Genomic DNA, 26,353 nt, shown 5'->3' with positions numbered 1-26,353 from the left:
ATTCCCTGTGTTGGCAGCAGATTTGTTTTACATCGACTTTTCCTTGAGAGGGAATCCTTTAAGAGTATTTGAGGATCTCTCTGCCATGTGTGGATCCAAGGCTTTATTTCCATCCCGACATGAGTATCACCCCTCAAATCACTCTATTATGAAGACAGCATTAACCCGTGCAATCTCACAGCTTGGGCTTAGTTTCCTCTTTGTGTTTGGCCCTTCATAATTTCCTTATTTTCTGGTGAACCCAATTATGCATTTAAACAGATGCTTGTTATATGTTAGGTAGCATTTCTAGGTACTTTGTACAGGTGAATTTCTAAGTTAGCTCTATCAACATATTGCCAGAGATAGGAATCGTAAGCATTACTTTTGCGATGGAAAATACAACTGAGTTTTAGGAAGTTAAAATAAAATTAATCAACAGCCAAGGTTACCTGGGCAGCCTGAGAAGACAGTGAATGGTGGAACCACAGTTTCTGGAGGTAATACTGTGTTGTCAAGAATTTTGCAGCAGTCTTTCAACACACATCGGCGCCCCTGAAATTAAAATCTTGTTAATAGGAAATGGATCAGTCTACTGTGTGAAAGGCTCCTTTCTATTTTCCCCATTCATGATACCATGTAATAGCCAGGGACGGTGACAAGAGGGTTGGTTGCAACTTCCTGCTTCAGGTGGTACCTGACGAGAAGGAGGCAGCAAGGTTGTGAGAGTGTGTGTTTGTGTACATTTCGGGGGGAAGGCTGTATGCTAGAGGCAGGACAAACTGTCTCAGACATTACAGACTGAATTTCAGTCTTCCATGAGCTCTGTTGAATTTTCCCTTTGATTTAGTGGACATTTGTGCTTTTGCTTGTCCAGCATCCATTCCCCTTTCTTCTGGTAACAGAACCTGTATTTTCCTCGGTAACCCTCCCATCCCCATCTCATCCATGTGCTTCACCCCCCAGCCCACACACCAAACCCCAAGCCTGGAAACAATAACAGGTCAGCATATGACCCCAATTAGTCTGATGGACCCCAACCTCAGGGCTTTTGCTGGGACTACTGGGGAAAGCAGCACTTCCCACTGGGGTTTCCAGAGGATAGGCTGGAAGACTGGAATAGGCATCTTATTTCCATGAAGGAAGAACCTGCCTGGGAGTGAACCTCCCAGAGGAAAGCAGCACAGAGATGGAGACTAATTCTTACAACATGGGCTGAATGCCTGGAGCCATTTGGCCGTGACATTAAGATCTACTCCTGTACTCTTGGTTTATATTCACCACCCATTCCACTCCACATCCACCAGCTTAAGGTTGGTTGGTTGGTTTGCTCTTTTGTCAATTCAAACTGGAAAAACCCTGAAAAATTCATTTGGATATGAAGCTATTAGTTCATTTGTTCTCCCACTGGTGAGTGATAGTCATGTAGATGTTTGAACCTCATCCCTGACTTTAACCACTGTCACCACTTTTCAATTCTGCCATGATCCACGGCATTCAGAGAGCAAGAAATAAGGTCTGAGAGACTCATCTGTTTCATGGGGCTTCTGTGTACAGTTTACAGCTGTATCTTAGACTCCTTGCTGAGGAAATGAAAGTTTTGATCATTCTGACTGCATTTACATCAGGGCCTGTTAGTTCACTGGTATCCTGGCTAGACAATCAGAAAATATACCTGACTGAGAATGTGGAAATCTTTACAAATACCAGGACAATGCTAACCAGTCCAGACCTCAGATTTTAGCAAAGAACATGATTGATTTGCTTGTGTTTAAATTTTTCCCCATTATTAAACACTTAAATCATATGTTTTTCTAGGAAAAGGTAGATTGCTAAATGAACTTCTTATGAAAGCATGTGAATTTCCTAAGTGGCTCTGAATTTCCCAAGTGGCTGATCTCTCTCCAGCTAGGTGGATAACAGCTATGAGAATACTCAGCAACATCTTTAGCTCAAAAGCACATTATGACTATAGTTCTTCGTTCTTCCTTGTAAAGTTATCTTCCGTGGGTTACCTGCTAGTGGCAATTTCAAAAATAGGGCAACTATCTTCCCTGGTGACCTCAAATTAACATAAACCCTAAGAATTCCTGTCATGACTAAGCTCCTACTAACTCAGACTAAGTTCATGAGGCACTGAGTAAAAGGACACCCAATGTGCTACATAAGGCATGATATAGTCCCATGGAGGGATCCACAGACAAAGGGCCCTGGAAAAGAAGACTAGCTGATGGGATATTTTCACTGTGTATACCAGCCACCATGCAGCCTGAAGGCACCTGCTCTGTCCACTGGTTGGCCATTTTGCCCACTTAGAGAAATAATACTTAACTGGGTTTCAGAAGCTGTCTGGGTAGACTGATCAATCAAATTAAACATTTAAAATGTAGGTATTTCTTAGGCATGAATGTACTGGTAATAGCTGAGGAGGTAAAAGCTGAAACTTCTTTTTTTTTTGGTGGCGGGGGACAGAGTCTCACTCTGTTGCCCAGGCTGGAGTGCAGTGGCGCGATCTCGGCTCACTGCAACCTCCACCTCCTGGGTTCAAGCGATTCTCCTGTTTCAGCCTCCCAAGTAGCTGGGATTACAGGCATGTGCTACCATGCCCAGTTAATTTTTTTGTATTTTTAGTAGAGACGGGGTTTCACCATGTTGGCCAGGCTGGTCTTAAACTCCTGGCCTCAAGTGATCCTCCTGCCTCGGCCTCCCAAAGTGCTGGGATTACAGGCATGAGCCACTGCGCCTGGCCTGAAACTACTTCTTTATTCTTCCCTAGAGAGCTTTCCAAGGAGTTAACAACTGCAGCCGTGCTGCTAATACTACAGCTACCTATATATCCTGTGCAAGTAAGTTAGCATCTTGGAGCCTTGGTTTCCTCATCTATGAAACAGGATGGAAAACCAAATCTGCAGGGAGGTTGTCAAGAATAGAGAGAATAAATGTAAAACTCATAGTACAGTAACAGTGCCTATAAATATTGCTTGTTAAGCTTTTCCTTCAGGCATCTGAGCAATTCTGATGAACACCTACATCTTCACATATCCAAACGGAAATTAAGACTATCACATGGGATGTTATAGGAAGGAGCTATGTGTCATGGGGACGGCTGGACTAAAAGAGTTACTTCCAGTGCTGAGATTCTAGAATTCTAAAAGAATCTCTCCTGAGATCGAGTATTTGTCAAGGCTCAGCGAGTACCGCCAATATGGAACAATGACTATATCATGAAGTGATGTATTAAAAAGTGGCATAAAAACAAGAGCACCTGACAATAGGATTAGAATTTCCTAAGCACTGGGAATAGAATTTGGATTCAACCTTTCAGACATTTCGCTCTGAGGATAAACGACAGGGTTATATGACTAGGCTACTGGGGTGATATCTTCACTTTGCTAAGGAAAATATCAGAAACCCCCAGCTGGAAGGCTAGCTTTTGTCAAGCAATTAGGGTGAGGGGAGAGATGAACTTTACTAACTTTCCCCTTGTCCCAAAGACTTTCTGTCCACCTTTGCTGTACCCTCATAGCTCCTGGAATGTGAACTGTTTGGTTTCTGCAAGTTTTTTGATATTTCAGGGTCTGAGTCTTATCCAGGGCAGAGAGCTGGCTCCATATTAACGGGAATGGTCATTAAAGAAACAGAGTCTTGGCTTTTCCTAGAATCTAGTCTGGAGTACAAATCTAAAATGCAGAAAACACTTTCCCTAAACATGGTTCTCATAAATCCCAACTGAAATCAAGCTCATCATCTAAGAAATCACAGGAAATCCAACCTTGTTAAGCCTTGGTTGGGTTAAATCAACCTATTCCTAGGCTCCAATGGACCAGGGTCCTACAGATTCTGCTGAGCAAGGGGCCCGCTTGCACCCTGAATTACATGTAAATGCCCTTTGATGACTTGAACCCTTCCTTACGCATGTGAATCTCTTTCCTGAAATGCCTGTCTTCCCCCAGTTTCAACTCACCCTTCAGATTTCCTTACTCCCATTAGACTGTAAGCTCCGTGAAGTAAGGCAATAAGTAGGCCATATAGCAGCATGGCTAATAATCATATTGCCTGGGTTTAAATCCCAGGTCTACTGCTTTCTAGCCCTATCAAATCCCTTAACTTTTGGGTTTTTTTTTTTTTTAAGAGAAAGGGTCTTGCTTTGTTGCCCAGGCTGGTCTTGAACTCCTGGGCTCAAGGGATCCTCCTGCCTTGGCCTCGCAAAGTGCTGGGATTATAGGCTACAGTCACCACACCTGGCCCCAAATCCCTTAATATTTAAGGTCCTCAGTCTTCTCATCTGCAAATAGGGATAACACCTAACACATCTGAATGGTTGTAAGGATTAAATGAAATCATCAAAGGAAAGAGTTTAACATCATATAGAGGAGACTTGATAAACGCTTGCCCGTATTAATGTCTAGAAAATATTCCAAATCTTTTTATTTATTTATTTATTTATTTATTTATTTATTTATAAGACAGTGTCTCGTTTTGTTGCCCAGACTGGAAAGCAGTGGTGCAATCTTGGCTCATTGCAACCTCCGCCTCCTGGGTTCAAGTGATTTTCCTGCCTCAGCCTCCCGAGTAGCTGGGACTACAGGCATGCGCCACCATGCCCAGCTAATTTTTGTATTTTTGTAGAGACAGGGTTTTGCCATGTTGGCCAGACTGGTCTCAAACTCCTGACCTCAAGTGATCTGCCCACTTCAACCTCCCAAAAAGCTGGGATTACAGGCATGAGCCACCGCACCCAGCTGAAAAAATTCCATATCTGTCAAGAAAAATCCAACTCTGGGAAGACTGGAAACCACTGCTACCCTGCTTAGTCACAGAAACAGGGTCCCACCGAAGTGAGGGATGGGAGCTGAAGGGAAAGTGAAGCTGCTTTGCCAGCCAAGTCATCATACTCACAATCACACAGTTCTTCCCAACATGAACATAGGAACCAATCTGTGCTGCGTTGACCACACAATCTTCCTCAATAAAGACATGGTCTCCAATATGTAAAGGAAAGAATGCAACACTAGAAGAGGAAAAGAAGATGAACACAGAAAGGTCAAGATGATGTACTTTGGGTCAAGGTTTATAGAACTACAGATCATAATTTGAACTTTATCATCTTAGCAAGACTGTTCCCAGCAAGGAAAGAAACCTCAGGCTAGAAAAATTATACAATATTGAAGAAAATGAATATGATTACTAGTTCAAAATTGCAATAGTACACCAAAGAAATATGAAAGGAAAAACCAAGGCAGGAGGGGCAAGATCTTCAAAGCTAAAAGAGCAGGTACCAAATAAAAATCAATGAACGTTTGTTCATTCCCACTTCCTTTGAAAATGCTCACAGATCACATTTTTAGTAACCTGCCCTATAATGTTCCAGGGGATTGACAGTAGGCTCATGAGTTATAATTTCCACATTCAGCATTCTAAAAATTTATTCATTCACAGACTTCAGTGAGTGACTACTATGTGCCAGACTCAATGCTAGAAATTAGGGCTATAATAATGACAAAAGAGAGAGAACACTGTCCACGAGCAGCTTGCAATCAAGAGAAGAAATGAGATTAAATAGTAAGTAGTGACAACTGTGATAAGGGCTACAGAAACACAATATCAAGTTATGAGCATATATAACAAGGAGACCTTACCTAGTCCATGGATTTAGGAAAAACTTAATTGACTTTGAGTAGGAGTCAGCAGGCTTTCTCCAGATATCTGACATCATTCCCATCCCGTTCTCTAGGGTTCCTCAAATGTCACTGACAGTGGTTCTGTGATCACATTTATATGTAATTTCTATACCTTGGGATGTAAAATATTTGGACTGGAATGAATATAAAGTGCTAGATGCTCACTAGAGAAAAGGGAAGTAGAAATGCAGAGAGAAGGGCAGTATAGAAGAATTCCAATTCTGTTCTATTCTGTCCAGAATATTTTTTCAGAGATGATACCTGTCCTCTACGAACCTATAATTTGTTTAAATCTTCCTTAACCACTAGTATTTTTGGTCTGTACCTCTTGTGCAGCAATGCATTCCCTGATCTCATCACAGTCTGTAGCAGTACTGACAGTTCTTTAATTTTAAATTTAAGATTCCAAGTTCGATAGTATTATCTGGTTCTGGTATGACATGCAGGTAGAAAAAAATCCACATTTAGCTTCTATTCATGTTTTGCTATTTACACTTTCATATTTTCAGCATTTCTCACATGTACTATTCCTATTTACACATCCCTTCATTCAGCAATAAACCCCTTGTTCACTCTTGGTGCTTTTCCTGTGCCATATCCAACCCAACAATGCTGTTAATCAACATTTCTAGTAGTGTATCAGTCACACTGTATAAAACCATAATAGGGTACCAGGAGGTTTTCTGGTTTTCCCCTAGTAGCCTTCAAAGCTAATCATGTGAATGTTTTATAATGATTCTCCGATCCAGTTCTTGTATGTCATGGAAAGCCTGGAATCCAACATCATTATTGGAAATGTGGGATTATTTCTGCATGATATACTTCTGGGTATTATCATTAGTTTGAGTTAATTGCTCCCTTCTCTGTTCCTTCCTAACCATGGTCATACCTCTGTGACAGGTGTATCACATCATATAGTAGCTGTCATATGTCGCTATCTGATTATGCTAATTGCTTCTACAACTAGACTTTGGGAACCTTGAGGCAGGAATTTTATTTTATCTATCTTTATATATTCTCAGCTTACAACCCAGCTGCAGGCATGAGGAAGGTGCTCAATAAATGCTTGCTGACTTATTGGATGAAATGCAGATGGGTGCCAGGAGGGCAATTAGTCAAGGAGGAGAGAAGCAAAGAGGCAAAGAGAATACTTTAGCACCATTATCAGCTATGGTGGTCAGTTTGCCTGCTCTGTCCCTGGCCTTTCTTGGACAGTCTTTATTCCCACTGAAGGATCAGTGGACCTGACTTGACTCTGCCCTTTGGGTCAAAGTCGTTCAGATCAGGGATACTTAAGATGAGTCAATCAGATTCTCTCTCTCAAGAGTTTGGAAGTAACACATAAGATCTCTAGTTGGTGTCTGCTGGAAGCCTAAATGGAGAAATGATATAAATTAGAGGCTGAGTCAGCAAGGTAGGCTCCATGAACAAATGGGGCAGGTATCTGTGAGAGAGAAAAGGCAAGTAGAAATGCAGAGAGAAGGGCAGTATAGAAGAAAAAATACAGTCTCAGATACAGAGAGGGATAGGTAGACAAAACAGTCTTGATTCCGGCTAGCTGTCCAATTCCAGGTTCCGGTCCCTTGTGAGGCCTGGCTTGCTCCTTTTCCTCCTCTTAGGTTCCATTATATACGCCAGTCTGTTTGATCAGAAATCCTTTGCTTTTGCCAGTGTGTAAGCGGATTCTGTTTGTAGCAACCAATCATCAACCAGACTGAGACAACCACCAGCAGAGTTGTGTTCATTATGGTGAACTCTTACTCAGTGCTTCAAACAGGACAGACCTAGTCATTATACCACAACTCAACACATGGACCACACCACCAGTGGCAGCTTCTTGCCCAAGACTTGAACAAAGTAATTAAATTACATACCCTTTGCTGAACTTCTTGAATGGTGGCCTTATGACACTACGACTTTTCACAACACAATGACGTCCAACTCTTACATTTGCCAGATCCCCTCGGATAATACAGTCATTCATCACAATGGTCTGTAAGACGAAGCAAATTTTAAAAAATTAGCAACATAGCCTAAGACGTAACAAAAAAAGAGTAGATAACGAGATACTGATTCTGAGTTATGTTACAATCCACTCTGACAGAATGTTTCAAATGTTCCGCCAAAAGGAATAAATTGTAAGGTAAAAAGAGAACTGCCCTCATGACAGTGACTGCAGTTAGTGATGTTCCTAGTACATCACAAGCTTTGCCCTTAATCCCCCATGAATAGAACTCACTGAATGAGCACTTAGTGAGAACACCTATAGCAGATCTGGCTTATATGTCTCTTTAGATTTGCTCAGGTAAGTCCTCATGCCCCCCAAGCCTTGGCTGCTCGCTTACCAAGAGTTCTGGCTGCTTTACCTTTGTCTTCTTTCTTAACACTACACCTCCTCCAACTCCATGCTCCAAGAGGTGGACCCACTGGAGTTCTGGTTCATCTCCCAACCTCTGAACTCAGATTCTAAGTGCTACACTGCAAAGTGTAAGGCGTGGCTTCCCCAGAAGTTGTTCCCCTATAAGTCTGGGAGGATTAATGCCTTATACTTGGTAAAGAGTAGGCACCCTCAAAATGTCTGCTGAATAAATGAATGGGGTTAAAAAGTGCATATGCTGGAGTTGTAACTGGAAAAAGTAAGCAAGGGACATGCAAGTAGATTATGAGGAATTATGTATGCTAAGCACAGAAACTTAGACATTTTTCCTAGAGGATATAGAGTCAATAAAATATTTTATTTCATTAAAAAATTTTTTCTGGCCAGGTGCGGTAGCTTACGCCTGTAATCCCAACACTTTGGGAGGCCGAAGCAGGTGGATTGCCTGAGGTCGAGTTCAAGACCAGGCTGGCCAACATGGTGAAACCCCATCTCTACTAAAAATACAAAAATTAGCCGGACATGGTGGCAAGTACCTGCAGTAATCCCAGCTACTCGGGAGGCTGAGGCAGGAGAATCGCTTGAACCTGGGAGGCGGAGGTTGCAGTGAGCCGAGATCGCGCCATTGCACTCCAGCCTGGACGAAAAGAGTGAGATTTTGCTTTAAGACACAGGGTCTCACTCTGTTGCCCAGGCTGCAGTGCAGTGCCACAATCATAGCTCACTGCAACCTTGAGCTCCTGGGCTCAAGGGATCCTCCCGCCTAAGCCTTCTGTGCAGCTGGGACTACAGGTGTGTGCCACCACATCCCACTAATTTTTAAATGTTTTGTAGAGATGGAGTCTCACTATGTTGCCCACGCTGGTCTTGAACCCCTAGGCTCATGCAATCAATCCTCCAACTTTGACCTCCCAAAGTGCTGCGATTGCAGGCATTAGACACTGCACTTGGCCCCAGTATTTTAAACAAAGGATTAACATACATAAATTTCCGTATTATTACTACTACTCTGGAAGCACCCTGGCATCTGCATGGAGGATACAGGTGAGAGACCTGAGGAAAACTGACCCTTTAGATGACTACAATGGATCAAGGTAAAAATAGATAATGAGTCTTTATTTTTTTTTTTTTTTGAGATGGAGTCTTGCTCTGTCACTCAGGCTGGAGTGCAGTGGCATGATCTTGGCTCACTGCAACCCCGCCTCCCAGGCTCAAGCAATTCTCCTGCCTCAGCCTCCCCAGTAGCTGGGATGACAGGCACCCACCACCATGCCCGGCTCATTTTTGTATTTTTAGTAGAGATAGGGTTTCACCATGTTGGCTAGGCTGGTCTTGAACTCCTGACCTCAAGTGATCCTCCCAAAGTGCTGGGATTATAGGCATGAGCCACTGAGCCCAGCCTATAATGGATCTTATCTAAAGCAATAACTGTACATATAGAAAGAAAAAATAAATAGTAAAAATATATAAATTAATAATAAAAGTAAATTAATCTGATTAAGTCTGTAGATTTAATGACCAATTTCAAGGAAGGAGGGAGATAAGGACCCTATTAGGCAATTCCATATAGACATAATCAGCCAAATTCAGCAGCTGGAGAATTCAACTGGATAGTGACCCAGTTTCTGCAATATATAAATGGCATGGAGAGAAAAAAGGGTTGGGGAAAGAGAACTGTTACAGATTAAAAGAGACTTAAGAGACATATCAACCAAATACAATGTGTGCAGCATCATGTTTGGATTCTGCTTTGAACAAATGAACTGGAAAAAGATATCCTGAGATACTGGGAAGACTGAATATGGACTGAGCGTTAGATGGTATTAAGGAAGTACTGGAGTTTTTACAATATTAACATGATAACAGTGATACTCTACTCATTTTTGTTTGTTTATAGAGACAGGGTCTCGCTCTGTCACCCAGGCTGGAGTGCAGTGGCATGATCATGGCTCACTGTAACCTTGAACTCCTGGGCTCAAGAGATCCTTCTGCCTCAGCCTCCAGGTAGCTGGGACTACAGGTGCATGCCACTAGACCTGGCTAATTTTTCTTTTCATTTTTTGTAGAGACATGGTCTTGCTATGTTGCCCAGGCTGGTCACAAATGCCTGGCCTCAAGTAATTCTCTTACTTCAGCCTCCCAAGTGCTAGGATTCCAATTGTGAGCCACCATGCCCCACCTCTACTGAATTTTTAAGTCCTTAAGAATTAGTAAGACACACTGAAGTATTTGTGGGTGAAATAATATGACATTTGCAATTTGTTTTAAAATACCATCCAGCCGGGAATGGTGGCTCATGCCTGTAATTCTAGTACTTTGGGAGGCTGATGCAGGAGGACTGCTTGAGCACAGGAGGGCAAGACCAGCCTGGGAAACATGGCAAAACCCTATCTTTGCAAAAAATACAAAAATTAGCCAGATGTGGTGGTGTGCACCTGTAGTCCCAGCTACTCAGGAGTCTGCGGTGGGGGGATTGTCTGAGTATGTGGAGGTCGAGGCTGCGGTAAGCTGAGATCACACCACTGCACTCCCACCTGGGTGACAGAGCAAGACTGTGCCTCAAGAAAAAAAAAAAAAAATTAAGCAGGGCATGGTGGCACGTGCCTATAGTCCCAGCTACACCAGAGGCTGAGGCGGAAGGATCACTAAGAATCAAGGCTACAGTGAGCTATGATAGTGCCACTTGCTGCACTCCAGCCTGGGCAACAGAGTAAGACTCTGTCTCAGAAAAAGAAAAAATAAATAAGTAAGAATAAAAAACTCTAGCGTTCCCTACCCCACCCTAGTCAAACTAGGACTTGAGTTTACAAGGTGAGTTTAGAGATGAAGCAAAAATGTCAGAATATTGCTAATTATGGAAGCTGGTAAATGAGTTTGTGGGAATTCCTTATATATCCTCTCTACTTTTGTACATGTCTTAAAAGTTCCATAATGATAATATTTAGCTATAAAAAGGAAAAAATAATAATCTGCTACTATATGCAACAAGATGGATACATCTCAAAAACATTATGCTGCGTGAAAAAAGCTTGACATAAAAGAGTATATGATTCTAACCCAGATATCCATGAATGGGCGAAAGGATAAAGAAAATGTGGTATATATCACTTCTTGGCCTTTTGGCTAAGATCAAGTGAAGAAAATGTAGTATATATACATAATGGAATATTATTCAGTCATAAAAAAGAACGAAATCCTGTCATTTGCAGCAACATGGATGGAACTGGAGGTTACTATATTAAATGAAATAAGCCAAGCACAGAAAGACATATATCACACGTTCTCACTCATATGTGGGCACTAAAAAAGCAGATTTCAAGACAGAGAGTAGACTGTTGGTTACCAAAGGCCAAGAAAGGTAGGAGGAAGGAAGAGGGGTTAATTAATGGGCACAAATATACAGCTTGATAGAAGAAATAAGACCTAGAATTTGATAGGTCAGTAGGGTGACTACAGTTTACAGTAATCTATTATGTATTTCAAAACAGCTAGAAGGAAATAATTTTTTTTAAACTTTTAAGTTCAGGGGTACATATGCAGGTTTGTTACATAGGTAAACTTGTGTCATGGAGGTTTGTTGTACACATTATTTCATCACCCAGGTATTAAGCCTAGTACCCATTATTTTTCCCGATCCTTTCCCTCCTGCACCCTCCCAACTCCCCGCTCCCATAGGCCCCAGTGTGTGTTGTTCCCCTCTATGTGTCCATGTGTTCTCATCATTTAGCCTCCAGCTCCATCCATGTCCCTGCAAAAAATATGATCTCATTCTTTTTTATGGCTGCATTGTATTTCATGGTGTACCTGTACCACATTTTCTTTATCCAGTCTATCACTGATAAGCATTTAGGTTGATTCCATGTCTTTGCTATTGTGAACAGTGTTGCAATGAATATATGTGTGCACATGTCTTTATAATAGAATGATTTATATTCTTTTGGGTATATATCCAGTAATGGGATTGCTGGGTCAAATGGTATTTCTGTCTTTAGGTCTCTGAGGAATCACCACACTGTCTTCCACAATGGTTACACTCCCACTAACAGTATGTAAGTGTTCCTTTTTCTTCACAACCTCACCAGCATCTGTTATTTTCTGACTTTTTAATAACAGCTATTCTGACTGGTGTGAGACGGTATCTCGTGGTTTTGATTTGCACTTCTCTAATGATCAGTGATGTTGAGCTTTTTGTCATGATTATTGTATTTCTTCTTTTGAAAAGTGTCTGTTCATGTCCTTTGCCCACTTTTTAAATGGGGTTGTTTTCTACTTGTAAATTTGTTTAATTCCTTTAGATGCTGGATATTAGACCTTTGTCAGATGCATAGTTTGCAAAAATTTTCTCCCATTCTGTAGGATGTCTGTTTACCCTGTTAATAGTTTCTTTTGCTGTGCAGAAGCGCTTTAGTTTAATCAGATCTCATTTGTCAACTTTCGCTTTGTTGCAATTGCTTTTGGCATCTTCATCATGAAATCTTTGCCTGTACCTATGTCCTGAATGGTACTGGTTAGGTTGTCTTCCAGGATTTTTACAGTTTTGGGTTTTATATTTAAGTCTTTAATCCATCTTGAGTTGATTTTTCTATATGGTATAAGGAAGGGGTCCAGTTTCAATTTTCTCCATATGGCTAGCCAGTTATCCAAGCACCATTTATTGAATAGAGAATCCTTTCCTCATTGCTTGTTTTTAGAAGGTTTGATGAAGATGAGATAGTTGTAGGTGTGTGGTCTTATTTCTGGGTTTTCTATTCTGTTCCATTGTTCTGTGTCTGTTCTTGTACCAGCAACACGCTGTTTTGATTACTGTAGCCCTGTAGTAGTTTGAAGTCAGGTAGCGTGATACCTACAACTTTGTTCTTTTTGCTCAAGATTGCCTTGGCTACTCTAGAAGGAAATAATTTGATTGTTTCTAGCATAAAGACAAATATTTAAGGTGATGAGTATCCCAATTACACTGATTTTTTATTTTTTCATTTTTTGGGGGACAGGGTCTCACTCTGCCGCCCAGGCTGGAGTGCAGTGGTGCCATCACGGCTCACTGCAGCCTCGACCTCCCAGGCTCAAGTGATCCTCCCTGCTCAGCTTCCCAAGCAGCTGGGACCACAGGTGTGCACCACCAAGCCCAGCTAATTTTTTTTATTTGTAGAGATGGGGGTCTCCCTATGTTGCCCAGGCTGGTTTTGAAATCCTGGGCTCAAGAGATCTTCCCACCTTGGCCTCTGAAAGTGCTGGGATTACAGGTGTGGGCCACCACGTCCAGCCAAAACCAATCTTATCTTTATAAATTTTATAAATGTATTAAATTATCATGTGCCCCCAAAATATGTACATCTATTATATGTCAATGAAAAATTATTTTTAAAAAGGGCTTGTGATTCTAATTATATGAAACTTCAGAAAATGCAAAACTAATCTATATTAGTTTTATATTGGTGGTTGCCTGAGGCAAGGGTACAAGGGTAGAGGATTGACTGCAAAGGGGCACAAGGAAACTAGAGTAATAGAAATGTATTCTATATCTTGATTGTAGTAGTGGTTGCATAGATGTACCCATCAGTCAAAACTTGTCAAACTGCACACTCAAAATGGATACATTTATTGTATGCAAATTATACCTCAATAAAGATGATTGGTTTTAGTTCCATAATAAAATGTTTAAAAAGAAAAGAAGGAAGAGAATCTATATGACTTGGTGACTGTTCGGCTGTTGGGAGGTAAGACAAAGAGAATTTACAATAGGGTAAGCAATTATGAGGATTACCAATTAAATTTTGAAATGTTGAATTTGAGATAGCTACGGGATGATCAATAGGCAGTTGTAAATAAAGGTCTGAGGTCAAGGACAGAAGGTCAGGCTAGGGAGGTAGGTGGGGAACTCCTGATATATAGGTGAATTTAGATTTATCGCTAGCCTGAACACCTGACTCTGAAGAATACCAAAAAAGAAACAGACTCATACCTGGAAAAACTTACTCAACTGCATACGTATAGTCTACAAAACTTGTACTCATAAAAAAGAACTTCCACATCTGCTGCTGATTATGAAGTATTACAGTTCTTTTGGTTTTCTTTTTTATTTTTAGTTTTTGAGATGGAGTCTTACTCTGTTGCTCAGGCTGGGGCACAGTGGTGTGATCTCAACTCACTACAACCTCTGCCTCCCAGGTTCAAGTGATTCTCTTGCCTCAGCCTCCTGAGTAGCTGGGATTACAGGCGCATGCCATCACACTAGGCTAATTTTTGTATTTTTAGTAGAGATGGGGTTTCACCATGATGGCCAGGCTGCTCTCAAACTCCTGACCTCAGGTAATCTGCCCGCCTCCGCCTGCCTTGGTCTCGCAAAGTGCTGGGATTATAGGCATGAGCCACCGTGCCCAGCCACTTTGGTTTTCAAAAGATGTACTCTTCAAGCTTAAAGAGATTATCTATTTCTAGCATGAACTTCCTCCATCTAAGAGTCTTAATTTACTTCAATTATTGTTTTCAGTTTCATGTTTCCACCTACAATCAGAGAAAATGGCTTCCTTTTCTTTTGGAGGAAAACAGAATTCCAAAAGTCCTGGGTATTTGGTGATGGTGGTTGTTTTATTGTGTTTTAAATAAGTACAACAAGCTTAATCTGGAAATAAAGAACATCCACATAAGTCTGTTTGTCAGCCTAAACTATACACTAACTAAAGAAGCAAACACATGCAAAGGAAGTAAATTGTATCACAGGTGGTCAGAGAAATTTAGGAAGATGGACTCAAATCTTGGTTTCCTATTTCACAAGGAGTAGTGCTGAGGAAGAGAAGTCAGATTCAAAACAGAGGTAACGGGGTGTTAAAAAGAAAGAAGGTGGCTGCCCTTCAGAGAAGCAAATGAAAGGAGGTGGCTGCCCTTCACAGAAGCAAAGCAAAGAGTTCACTGAACTCAACAATGGGCAAGGCAGAGATAGCAAAGTGGAGGTTGAAGGACTATACTTGCAAACCTGTATTGTTTGGCTCATGCAGCATTTTTATTATTTATTTCTTTTAATTTTTTTTAGCTATCTCCTACAGGAAGGACACGTGGCATTTTAACAAATCATTTAAAATTAAACATTACTATTTGAGTAGTGGAACATCTTGCATTTTAAAAAGTGAGATTTCCAGTTGCTTTTGAAAAAGAATCAGACGCTCTGGAAAGCTGATTGTTGCCACGTGGGCCTGTATTCCCACACAGTAACAACCAGCTTGGGCTTAGATTGGTCACATTCTCCAATTCACCAGGCCCCACCACTCTCTATTGTTCACACTCAGTCTTACTGACTCATCTGATCTCTTTCTATCCCTGCAGGCACTGTGACATCTGATATATGGGCTCAGGAAAACAGAAATGACAAAGTTCTGAAAGAGAAGGGATAGAAATATAAATGGATTGTTCATAACAGCAAAAAACTAGAAACAAAGTAACTTTCCACCAAGAGGAGGGTGGATAAGTGGAATTGTACACAGCAGTGAAAATGCACAGACGGGCCAGCCGGGTGCAGTGGCTCATGCCTGTAATCCCAGCACTTTGGGAGGCCAAAGTGGGCAATCACCTGAGGTCAGGAGTTCAAGACCATCCTGGCCAACATGGTGAAACCCGGTCTCTACTAAAAATACAAAAAAAAAAAAAAAAATTAGCCAGGTGTGGTGGGAGGAAGAGGTGGTGTGTGGGGAGGGAGGGAGGCAGGAGAATCGCTTGAACCTGGAGGTTGCAGTGAGTCAAGATCGCACCATTACACTCCAGCCTGGGCAATAAGAGCAAAACTCCATCTTAAAAGAAAATAAAATAAAATGCACAGACCACAATGAATCTTAGAAATAAAAGCTGAGTACCTCCCAAAGCAGTCTACAGACTCAATGCAATCTTAACAAGATAACAATGAGATTCTTCACAAAAATAGAAAAAAGATCCTAAAATTCGCAGAGACTCTGAATAGCCAAAGTAATCCTGAACAGAAAGAACACAGCTGAAGGGGGCATCACACTGCCAGACTTAAAAATATACTGCAATGCTACAGTAATCAAAATAGCATAATACTGGCATTACAAAAAGACACATAGGCCAATGGAACAGAATAGAACCTAGAAATTAATCCACATATCTATAGCCAGCTGATTTTTGACAAAGGTGACGAGAACATTCATCTGGAAAAGGACAATCTCTTCAATAAATGGTGCTGGGAAAACAGCATATCCATAAGCAGAAGTAGACCCCACACCTGTCACTGTACACAAAAATCAACTCAAAATGAAATCTTTTTTTTTTTTTTTTTTTTTGAGACAGAGTCTCACTCTGTTGCCCAGGCTGGAGTGCAGTGGCACCATCTCGACTCACTACAACCTCTGCCTCCTGGGTTCAAGTGATTCTCATGCCTCAGCCTCCTGAGTAGCTGGGATTACAAGCATGCCACACCCAGCTAATTTTTTCTATTTTTAGTAAAGATGGGTTTCACCATGTTGGCCAGGCTGGTCTTGAACTCCTGCCCTCAAGTGATCCGCCCGCCTTGGCCTCTCGAAGAGCTGGGATTATAGGCGTGAGCCACTGCACCTGGTCTATAACTTAAAATGAATTAAAGACCTAAATGAAGGCCTGGGACTATAAACTACTAGAAGAAAACATAGGGGAAATGCTTAAAGACACTGGTCTTGGAAAAGATGAGTAAGACTTCAAAAGCAGAGACAACAAAAGGAAATAAACAAATGGGATTATATCAAACTAAAATGATCCTGCACAGCATAGGAAACAATCAACAGAATGAAAATATGGCAGAACATATCTTCAAACTATTCTTCAAAGACAGAATATATTAATACAAGGAACTCAAACATCTCAACTGCAAAAAAACTCAATCTAATTTTTTAAATGGGCAAATGATTTGAATCGACATTTCTCAAAAGACATACTAATGGCCAACAAATATATATTTTAAAATGTTCACTAAACATCACTAATCAGCCAGGCACGGTGGCTCATGCCTGTAATCCCAGCATTTTGGGAGGCCAACTGCAGGTGGATCACTTGAGGTCAGGAGTTCGAGACCAGCCTGAGCAATATGGTGAAACCTCGTCTCTACTAAAAATACAAAAAAAATTAGCCAGCATGGTGGTGTGCGCCTGTAGTCCCAGCAACTCAGGAGGCTGAGACAGGAGAATTGCTTGAACCCGGGAGGCAGAGGTTGCAGTGAGCTGACATCACGCCACTGCACTCCAGCATGGGCAATGGAGCGGGATTCTGTCTCAAAAAACAAACAAACAAAAAATCACTAATCATAGGGAAGGGCAAATTAAGACCACAATGAGGTACCACTTCACCGCAGTTTAGGATGCTTATCATAAAGACAAAAAATAACAAATACTAGTGAGGATTTGGAGAAAAGGAAACTCTTATACACTGTTGGTGGGATGTAAACTAGTACAGCCACTATGGAGAACAGTATGAACGTTCCTTAAAAAAACTACAAATAGGGCCAGGTGTGGTGGCCCACACCTGTAATCCCAGCACTTTGGGAGGCCGAGGCAGGCGGAATACTTGAGGTCAGGAGTTCACGACCAGCCTGGCCAACATGGTTAAACCCCATCTCTATTAAAAATACAAAAATTAGCCAGACATGGTGGTGTGCACCTGTAATCCCAGCTATTCAGGAGATTGAGGCATGAGAATCACTTCAACCAAGGACGTGGAGATTGCAGTGAGTTGATATCGCACCACTGCACTTTAGCCCAGGCGACACAGCGAGACTGTGTCTCTAAAAAAAAAAAAAAAAAAAAAAGAAAAAAGAAAAAAAAATTAGCCAGCAATGGTGGTGCATGCCCGTAGCATAAGCTACTTGGGAAGCTGAGGTGGGAGGTTCGCCTGAGCCTGGCCTGGAAGGTCAAGGCTGCAGTGAGCTATGATTGTGCCACTGCACTCTAGCCTGGGCAACAAAGTGAGACCCTGTCTCAAAAAAATTAACTAACAAATAAATTAAACAAATAAATAAAGATTTTTAAAATAAAAATAAATCACAGGAAACCAAGTTAAACAATATATATTATTTAGGGATATGTGGAAAATTTGCTTAAATAATAAATAATTTATAAGACACAAAATCAGGACAGCGGTTTTCTCTTGGAGGGTGGCAAAAATAGGAATAGGGGAGGAACATAAAAATAGTACTTATTGTATACAGATTATGTTCCAATTCTTCAGTTGGGTATAGGGTTCACTGGTGTTGATTTAATTTTATGCTTTATGACATATATGTCACATATATTCTTTTGTATACCCAAAATATTGCCAAATTAAACATCTTTAAAAAGCAAAAGGTAGCCAGGCATGGTGGCTCATGCCTGTAATCCAAGCACTTTGGGAGGCTGAGGCAGGCAGATCACCTGAGGTCAGGAGTTCAAGACCAGCCTGGCCAACATGGTAAAACCCCGTCTCTACTAAAAATACAAAAATTAGCCAGGCATGGAGGCACGCAACTGTAATACCAGGTACTGGGGAGGCTGAGGCAGGACAATTGCTTGAACCTGGGAAGTGGAGGCTGCAGTGAGCCAAGATTCCACCATTGCATCCAGCCTGGGCAACAGGGCAATACTCCATCCCCCTCCCCCAAAAAAAAATTAAAAAAAAAAAAGCAAACAGCCCTCAATAGGCAAAACAATCTTATAAAAGAACAAACATGGAAGACTCATAATTCATGATTAAAAACTTATTATAGTAGGCCGAGCACAGTGGTTCACACCTGTAATCCCACTACTTTGGTAGGCCAAGGCGGGCGGATCACCTGAGGTCAGGAGTTCGAGACCAGCCTGACCAAAATGGCAAAACCCTGTCTCTAGCATGGTGGCGCATGCCTGTAATCCCAGCTATTCAGGATGCTGAGGCAAGAGAATTACTTGAACCTGAGAGAAGGAAGTTGCAGTAAGCTGAGATCGTGCCACTGCACTCCAGCCTGGGTGACAGAGTGAGACTCTTTCTCAAAAAAAAAAAAAAACCAGAAAACTTATTACAAAGCTATGGTAATCAAAACAGTGCAGTGTTCCATAAAGATAGTCATACAGACCAACCAAATAGAATTGAGAGTTCACAAATAAATCTATTCATCTATGACCAATTGATTTTCTAGAAGAGTGCCAAGACCATTCAACAGGGAAAGAATAGTATTTTCAACAAACAGTGCCAGGATAACTGTATTTCTACATTCAAAAGAACTAAGTTAGACCCCTACCTCAAACCATATAAAAAAATTACTCAAGCTGGGTACAGTGGTTCACGCCTGTAATCCCGGCACTTTGGGACGCCGAGGCTGGCAGATCACCTGAGGTCGGGAGTTTGAGACCAGCCTGACCAATATGGAGAAACCCTGTCTCTACTAAAAATACAAAATTAGTCAGGCATGGTGGCGCATGCCTGTAATCCCAGCTACTTGGGAGGCTGAGAGAGGAGAATCACTTGAACCCAGGAGGCGGAGGTTGCAGTGAGCCGAGATTGCACCACTGCACTCCAGCCTGGATGACAAGAGGGAAACTCCGTCTCAAAAAACAAAAAAAAAAATTAACTCAAAATGGATCAATGACCTAAACACAGCACTAAGACCATTAACGCTCTTAGAAGAAAACACGGCAGTAAATCTTCATGGCCATAAGTTTGGATTCTTAATATGACACCAAAAACACAAGCAACAGAAGAAAAAACAGATAAACCAGACTTCAAAATTAAAAACTTTTGTGCATCAAAGGGATGCACAAAATCTACAGAAAGGAAGAAAGCATTTGCAAATCATATATCTGATAAGTGTTTAATATCCAGAATGCATAAAGAACTCCTAGAACTCAATAAGAAAAAGACAACACAATATAAAAATAGGCAAAGGACTGAACAGACATTTCTCTAAAGAAGATGTACAGATGACCAACAAGCAACATTCAAAGATGTTCAATATCATTAGTCATTAAGGAAATACAAATCAAAACCACTATGAGATACCATTTTATACTCCCTTGGATGGCCATAATCCAAAAAAAACCAGAAAATAACTAGTGTTGGTAAAGATGTGGAGAAATTGGAACCCTGCACAATGCTGGTGGAAACGTAAAATGGTGCAGCCATTTTGGAAAAAAATTTGTCAGTTTCCCAAAAAGTTAAACATAGACTCACCATTTGTCCCAGCAATCACGCTCTTTTGTATATACCAAACATTGCCAAATCAAGTATTGAGTATATACACTCCTAGGTATATACTCAAAAAAACTGAAGACAGGGACACAAACAGATACTTGCACATCAGTGTTCACTGCAGCATTATTCCCAATAGCCAAAGGGTAGAAACAATCCAAGTGCCTATACGAAATGTGGCATATACATACAATGGAGTATTACTCTGCTATGGAAAGGAATGAAGTTCTGATGTGCTTTAACAAGGATGAACCTTGAAAACCTTACACTAAGTGAAATAAGCCAGACAAAAAGGACAAATATTGTATGATTCCACTTATATGAAATATCCAGAATAGGCAAATTCATAGAGACAGAAAGTAGATTCAGGCTATCAGCAATGGAAGGAAGTAGGGAATGGGCGTGTATTCCTTAATGTGTAGAGTTTTTATTTGGGGTGATGAAAAAATTTTGGAAATGGATAGTGGAGATGGTTGCACAACATTGTGAATGTAATTAATGCAACTAATTGTACACTTAAAAATTGGTAAGGCTGGGCGCAGTGGCTCATGCCTGTAATTCCAGCACTTTGGAAGGCCAAGGAGGGCAGATCACCTGAGGTCGGGAGTTCGAGACCAGCCTGATCAACATGGAGAAACCCCGCCTCTATTAAAAATATAAAATTAGCTGGGCATGGTGGCACATGCCTGTAACTGGGGAGTCTGAGGCAGGAGAATCACTTGAACCTGGGAGGCGGAGGTTGTGGTGAGCCGAGATCGTGCCATTGCACTCCAGCCTGGGCAACAAGAGCAAAACTGCGTATTAAAAAAAAAAAAAATATATATATATATATATATATATATATATATATATATATATATATATATATATAGTTAGGCTGGGTGCAGTGGCTCACACTTGTAATCCCAGTACTTTGAGAGGCCAAGGCAGGTGGATCACTTGAGGCCAAGAGTTTGAGACCAGCCTGGCCAACGTGGCAAAACCCTGCCTCTACTAAAAATACAAAAATTAGCCCAGTGTAGTGGCGTGCACCTGTAGTCCCAGCTACACAGGAGGCTGAGGCATGAGAATCCTTGAAGCCAAGAGGCGGAGGTTGTGGCGACTGAGATGGCGCCGCTTCACTCCAGCCTGGGCAACTGTCTCAAATAATAAAAATTTTTAAAAAATTGTTAAAATGGCAAATTGTTATACATAGTTCACCATAAGAAAAAAAATCTTGGGCTGGGCGTGGTGGCTCATGCCTGTAATCCCAGCACTTTGGGAGGCTGAAGTGGATGGATCATCTGAGGTGAGGAGTTCAAGACCAGCCTGGCCAATATGGTGAAACCCTGTCTCTACTAAAAATACAAAAATTAGGCCAGGCGCGGTGGCTCACGCCTGTAATCCCAGCACTTTCGGAGGACAAGGCAGGTGGATCACGAGGTCAGGAGATTGAGACCATCCTGGCTAACACGGTGAAACCCCATCTCTGATAAAAATACAAAAAATTAGCTGGGCATGGTGGTGGGTGCCTGTAGTCCTAGCTACTCAGGAGGCTGAGGCAGGAGAATGGCGTGAGCCTGGGAGGCGGAGCTTACAGTGAGCCAAAATCGCACCACTGCACTCCAACCTGGGCAACAGGGCGAGACTCCATCTCAAAAAAAAAAAAAAAAAAAAAAAATTAGGTGGGCATGATGGCGGGAGCCTGTAATCCCAGCTACTCTGGAGGCTGAGGCAGGAGAATCACCTGATGCCAGGAGGTGGAAGTTGCAGTGAGCCAAGATCGCGCCACTGTACTCCGACCTGGGTGACAGAGCAATACTCTGTCTCAACAAAAAAGGAAAAAAAAGAAACAGTATGTCTGAGCAGCAATTACTGAATTATATTTCTTTTCCACTTAATTCCTTGGTATGACAGGCTTAATGGAGACTAATTATCTTCTACTGAAAATATTTGTGATCTCTTGGTTATAAGGAGACTATTTTCCTTCTGGAAGTTAGAGATGTAATATTTAAAGAAAAATTAATTTCAAAATTGAGTGTTCCAGATGGCAGGAAAACAACTGTGAACTTCACTGTTTGTCAAGCTCAAATATACCCTGTGATATTTTCTCTTCCAAGTTTATACTCGTCTCTTTGCTATTGTAATTTATTTGGATTACAAGATTCTCAGGCTTTCAGATTCCACTTTGCATATTTGTCTCATACTTTAATATCTTTTCCAATTGTCACATTCGTTTTAAGAGTTTCAGTTAATAGTGAATTATTAATTTTTACTAAAGAGATAATTTTATAAGTATTACTTTAGTTTCTACCTTCAAATATTTCATTACCTGTTACACTTTGTGCCCAGTAGTTTAATGCACACTATATCATAAAATAATGTTGGTTCTAGGTACCACTGTATTTTGTTCCTGGCATAAAAGAAAAAAGGTTTTCTGTTGCCTCTTATTGAACCTTTTTGCATTCAAGAGATCCAACTTAGGCTGGGTGCAGTGGCTCACACCTATAATCCCAGCACTTTGGGAGGCCGAGGTGGGTGGATCACTTGAGGGCAGGAGTTCAAGACCAGCCTGGCCAACATGATGAAACCCTGTCTCTACTAAAAATACAAAATATTAGCCGGGCTTGGTGGCAGCTGCCTGTAATCCCAGCTACTCGGGAGGCTGAGGCAGGAGAACTGGTTGAACCTGGGAGACGGAGGTTGCAGCGACCTGAGATGGGGCCACTGCACTCCAGCCTGGGCGACAGAGTGAGACTGTCTCAAAAAAAACCGAAACAAAAAAAAAACAAAAAGGAGATCCAATTTACAAAATAAAAAATTTAAAAACAAGAGAATTAAAAATGTAAACAATAAATAGGAGATATGGCAACATTTTATCTGCCCTGCTGTGGTGACAATTAGCAGAACGCAAGCTAAGGTTTGCAGCCTGGAGCTGGCTTTGTCCCTTACCTTGCCATTGAGAACGATGTTCTGGCTTCCACACAACACTGACTGGCGACTGACTTTGTTCCCAGATGCCTAAAAGAAAACAACGGAAAACCGGGGAAAGCAAACTTAATAGGTTTCTGGACTACAGGTTTCCATCAAGAAAGCTCCCATTTGAGAGAAAAAAACATAAAGTGGGGTGCTGTCCACAATGGAGTGAGTCCAGGATATCAAAAAAGCAATGATGGATTAGGAAACTATGGCTGAGTATGGTGGCTCATGCCTGTAATCTCAGCACTTTGAGAGGCTGAGGCAGACGGATCCCTTGAGGACAGGAGCTCAAGACCAGCCTAGGCAACATAGTGAGACCCCTTCTCAACAAAAAAAAAATTTTTTAATTAGCCGGGCATGGTGGCGCGTGTCTGTAGTCCCAGCTCCTCAGAAGGCTGAGGCTAGAGGATCGCTTGAGCCTGGAAGGCCGAGGCTGCAATGAGCTGTGATTGTGCCACTGCACTCCAGCCTGGGCAACAGAGTGAGAACCTGTCTCAAAAAATAAAAACACAAAGGAAACTAGGGACTCAAGGAATAAACTCATAATTTGAATGTCTATAGCTTGGTGGCATCAGACAGACGCGGATTCAAATCCCACTTCCACGCGTGGGCTTTACGGCCTTAAAACGAGGATAATGACTATGAGTATCAGAGTTGTGAGAAAGCAAAGAAAACCAAAATAACGATAGTAACGTTAATTGACCACTTGCCCTGTTTCCAAGATTTTACAAACATATCATGTACTGATCATAAAGAACCAAATCGGCAGGGTGCGGTGGCTCACGCCTGTAATGCCAGCACTTTGGGAGGCCGAGGCGGGTCGATCACCTGAGGTCAAGAGTTAGGGACCTGCCTGGCCAACACGGTGAAACCCCGTCTCTACCAAAAAATACAAAAATTAGCCGGGCGTGGTGGCGGGCGCCTGTAATCCCAGCTACTCGAGACGCTGAGGCAGGAGAATCGCTTGAACCCGGGAGGCGGAGGTTGCAGTGAGCAGAGATCGCGCCGCGGCCCTCAGGACTGGGCGACAGAGTCTCCGCCCCCCAACCCCCTTCCTCAAAAAAAAAGAACCGAATCGTTTTTAGCGCAAGTTAACAGATACAAAAGGCAGTGTAAAAGGGCCCGAAGTCCGAGCTGTAATTCGTATGAACAGGATGGGACTTGTCCTATCCTCCCGAAGGCACTTTACCCCTATGAGAAAATCAGGAATAAATACAAAAGGCCTCAACTGGCCAAGCGCGGAGTAAACAGCAAAGCCAGACGGTACACGGGGCATCGCTAGATAATCCGGGACTAATGGCCAAAGGGACAGGGGTTGGTGGGGTAGGGGCAGGTTGGGAACGCCGACCAGGCCTCAAAGGGACGCAGGGTTGGAAAGAGGAGGATACATATCTGGACCCGCGCACCGTCTCGATGTACTCAGACTTGTTGTAGAGCAGCTCGCCCAACTCCATGGCCGCCGCCTCCTTCCCTCAGCCCCGGATCCTGTCAGAGTCAGTCGGTCAGTCTTTCAGAGATTCCGGCTACTTCCGGCCGCTCCTCCACTTCCGCTCCAGGTGGCCCACTGGGACTCATCGACAGCGCGGCTCTCCTTTAGGCGGCCTCGCTCCACTGCTCGGCCGTCTACGGCTGCGCGTGCGCAGGCCGAATGGTGGATTTAATTGGCCGGAGTTTAGGGCGCGCTTGGCCCGCGTGGGTCAGCTGATCGCGCACTGAGGGTGCGATCCCGGGCTCCCCATTCCTTCCTGGGGCGCCTCCCCGGCCCAGGGCCAACTGGGTCCCGGTGTCGGCAGGCCTGGGGTCGGCGACGGCTGCTCTTTTCGTTCTGTCGCCTGCCCGATGGACGAGCCTCCCGGGAAGCCCCTCAGCTGTGAGGAGAAGGAAAAGGTGCCGGGGGTGCGGGAAGGGCGGACGCAGGACTCTGACCCCGCTTTCCCAGGGTTTTAGGCCTGGCTTTGTGTCCTCGGCAGTCCGAGGGCAGCAGTATCATCTGACCACCCCCTCCTCTTAGGGCTGAGGGGGCACAGAAAATGAAAATGTGGAAATAGCGTGGTGCTCACGTGGTGGCGTTTAAAGAACAAATTTCATTACAGTAGCAGCGCATTAATACAATGTGTAACAGTTTGTAGATAAAGCTGTATCGACACCCTTGCTCCTCCCCCCTCCCACACCCTCAATCTTTACTTCTCCCCCCGGACGGCCTCAAGTAAATCTTTTAAGTCTGGTACTTCCAGGTCCTTTCGTGTGTTAATGTGGGTGGTGGAGGAGGGGCGTATCCCTAACCACCAAAAAGGAATCCTATGTATATTTTTTGGAGAAGGGAATGTTCATAAATGGTATGATCTGAATGGTTCTGCAGGTTCCGTTTAGCTTTCCTGTCAGGACATGTTTATCTACCTTGCTTTCTTTTTTAAGTTCTAGACAGTATGTTGTAGTTTGGAAGTGCCCTCGTTTTGTTTCTTTTTTCTTCCTTTTCTGTTTTTCTTCTTTTTTGAGACAGAGTCTCACTCTGCCACCCATGCTGGGGTGCAGTGGCGCGATCTCGGCTCACTGCAACCTCCGCTTCCTGGGATCAAGCGACTCTCCTGCCTCAGCCTCCCGAGTAGCTGGGATTACACGAACCCGCCACTGCACCTGGCCTTGGAAGTGCCCTTGCTTCTTTAGACTGTACTTTACTGATAGACTTTTAGGATGTTTCCAGCTTGTGCTGATGTTATTCTTATCCTGGCTTACCTTCTGGTGGAGGTGAGAAAGATCATTTATAAGTAAACAAGATAATCCCCAGACATTGATAAGATTGGTGGGAGGCCAGTCTCCCTGGCTCACGCCTGTAATCCCCGCACTTTGGGAGGCCGAGATGGGCAGATCGCTTGAGCTCAGAGTTTGAGACCAGCCTAGGCAACGTAGTGAAACCCCGTCTCTACTAAAAATACAAAAATTAGCCGGGTGTGGTGACGCCAGCCTGTAGTCCCAGAGGCTCAGGCCTCAGAGGCTGATGCACGAGAATCGCTTGAACCAGGGGACGCTGAGGTTGCAGGGAGCTGCCGAGATCGCGCCACTGCACGCCAGGCTGGACGACAGAGTGAGACTGTCTCTCAAAAAAAAAGAAAATTCCTTACGGTTGGCAACTTGTCTAGTAGCATGTTTTGCACATAGGTTTTGTTTTGTTTGTTTTTGAGACAGACTCTCC

General features: G+C 42.6%; 2 protein-coding genes across 25 annotated transcripts in view, besides 3 other annotated features; one reads left to right on the top strand and one right to left on the bottom strand.

The window, feature by feature from the left end:
• DCTN5 (dynactin subunit 5) overlaps positions 1-24,694 on the bottom strand; it is a 36,007-nt gene extending 11,313 nt beyond the window's left edge. For 4 of the 6 annotated variants that reach the window (XR_001752007.3, XR_001752006.3, NM_032486.4 and 1 more), the window contains exons 1-5: positions 24,570-24,694; positions 23,137-23,205; positions 7,535-7,653; positions 4,879-4,990; positions 432-534 (exon numbers count right to left, since the gene is read on the bottom strand). Coding sequence is in view for 3 of the 6 variants with exons in the window: in NM_032486.4 (NP_115875.1) it covers positions 432-534; positions 4,879-4,990; positions 7,535-7,653; positions 23,137-23,205; positions 24,570-24,617 (451 nt within the window). In the remaining 3 variants the exon portion in view is untranslated. Of the gene's footprint in view, positions 1-431; positions 535-4,878; positions 4,991-7,534; positions 7,654-8,573; positions 8,675-15,012; positions 15,405-23,136; positions 23,206-24,569 lie in introns of those variants that run through there. The other 2 variants (NR_037573.2, NM_001199011.2) reach the window with 2 other exon arrangements.
• Positions 13,975-14,124: an enhancer, noted in NCBI's record as "active region_10585". NCBI's record gives its function as "activates an Ori minimal core promoter by ATAC-STARR-seq in GM12878 lymphoblastoid cells {active_cell/tissue: GM12878}" and the evidence as "EXISTENCE:reporter gene assay evidence [ECO:0000049][PMID:35858748]".
• Positions 23,632-24,421: an enhancer, noted in NCBI's record as "H3K27ac hESC enhancer chr16:23653060-23653849 (GRCh37/hg19 assembly coordinates)". NCBI's record gives its function as "activates a minimal SCP1, AML or CMV promoter by ChIP-STARR-seq in naive H9 embryonic stem cells {active_cell/tissue: H9 hESC(naive)}" and the evidence as "EXISTENCE:reporter gene assay evidence [ECO:0000049][PMID:30033119]".
• PALB2 (partner and localizer of BRCA2) overlaps positions 24,850-26,353 on the top strand; it is a 38,146-nt gene continuing 36,642 nt past the window's right edge. For 15 of the 19 annotated variants that reach the window (NM_001407314.1, NM_001407313.1, NM_001407312.1 and 12 more), the window contains exon 1: positions 24,850-25,050. In NM_001407314.1, coding sequence (NP_001394243.1) covers positions 25,003-25,050 — 48 coding nt within the window. In that variant the 5' untranslated portion in view covers positions 24,850-25,002. Of the gene's footprint in view, positions 25,909-26,353 lie in introns of all 19 variants that reach the window. The other 4 variants (NM_001407308.1, NM_001407306.1, NM_001407310.1 and 1 more) reach the window with 2 other exon arrangements.
• Positions 25,549-25,783: a silencer, noted in NCBI's record as "fragment chr16:23651698-23651932 (GRCh37/hg19 assembly coordinates)". NCBI's record gives its function as "represses an EF-1alpha promoter that drives an FKBP-Casp9 reporter gene in an ReSE screen in phorbol 12-myristate 13-acetate-treated (for megakaryocytic differentiation) K562 erythroleukemia cells {active_cell/tissue: K562(+PMA)}" and the evidence as "EXISTENCE:reporter gene assay evidence [ECO:0000049][PMID:32094911]".

Source organism: Homo sapiens, chromosome 16, assembly GCF_000001405.40.
Source record: "Homo sapiens chromosome 16, GRCh38.p14 Primary Assembly".
NCBI classification, from domain to species: Eukaryota; Metazoa; Chordata; class Mammalia; order Primates; family Hominidae; genus Homo; species Homo sapiens.
This window is presented reverse-complemented; position numbering and strand designations above follow the sequence as displayed.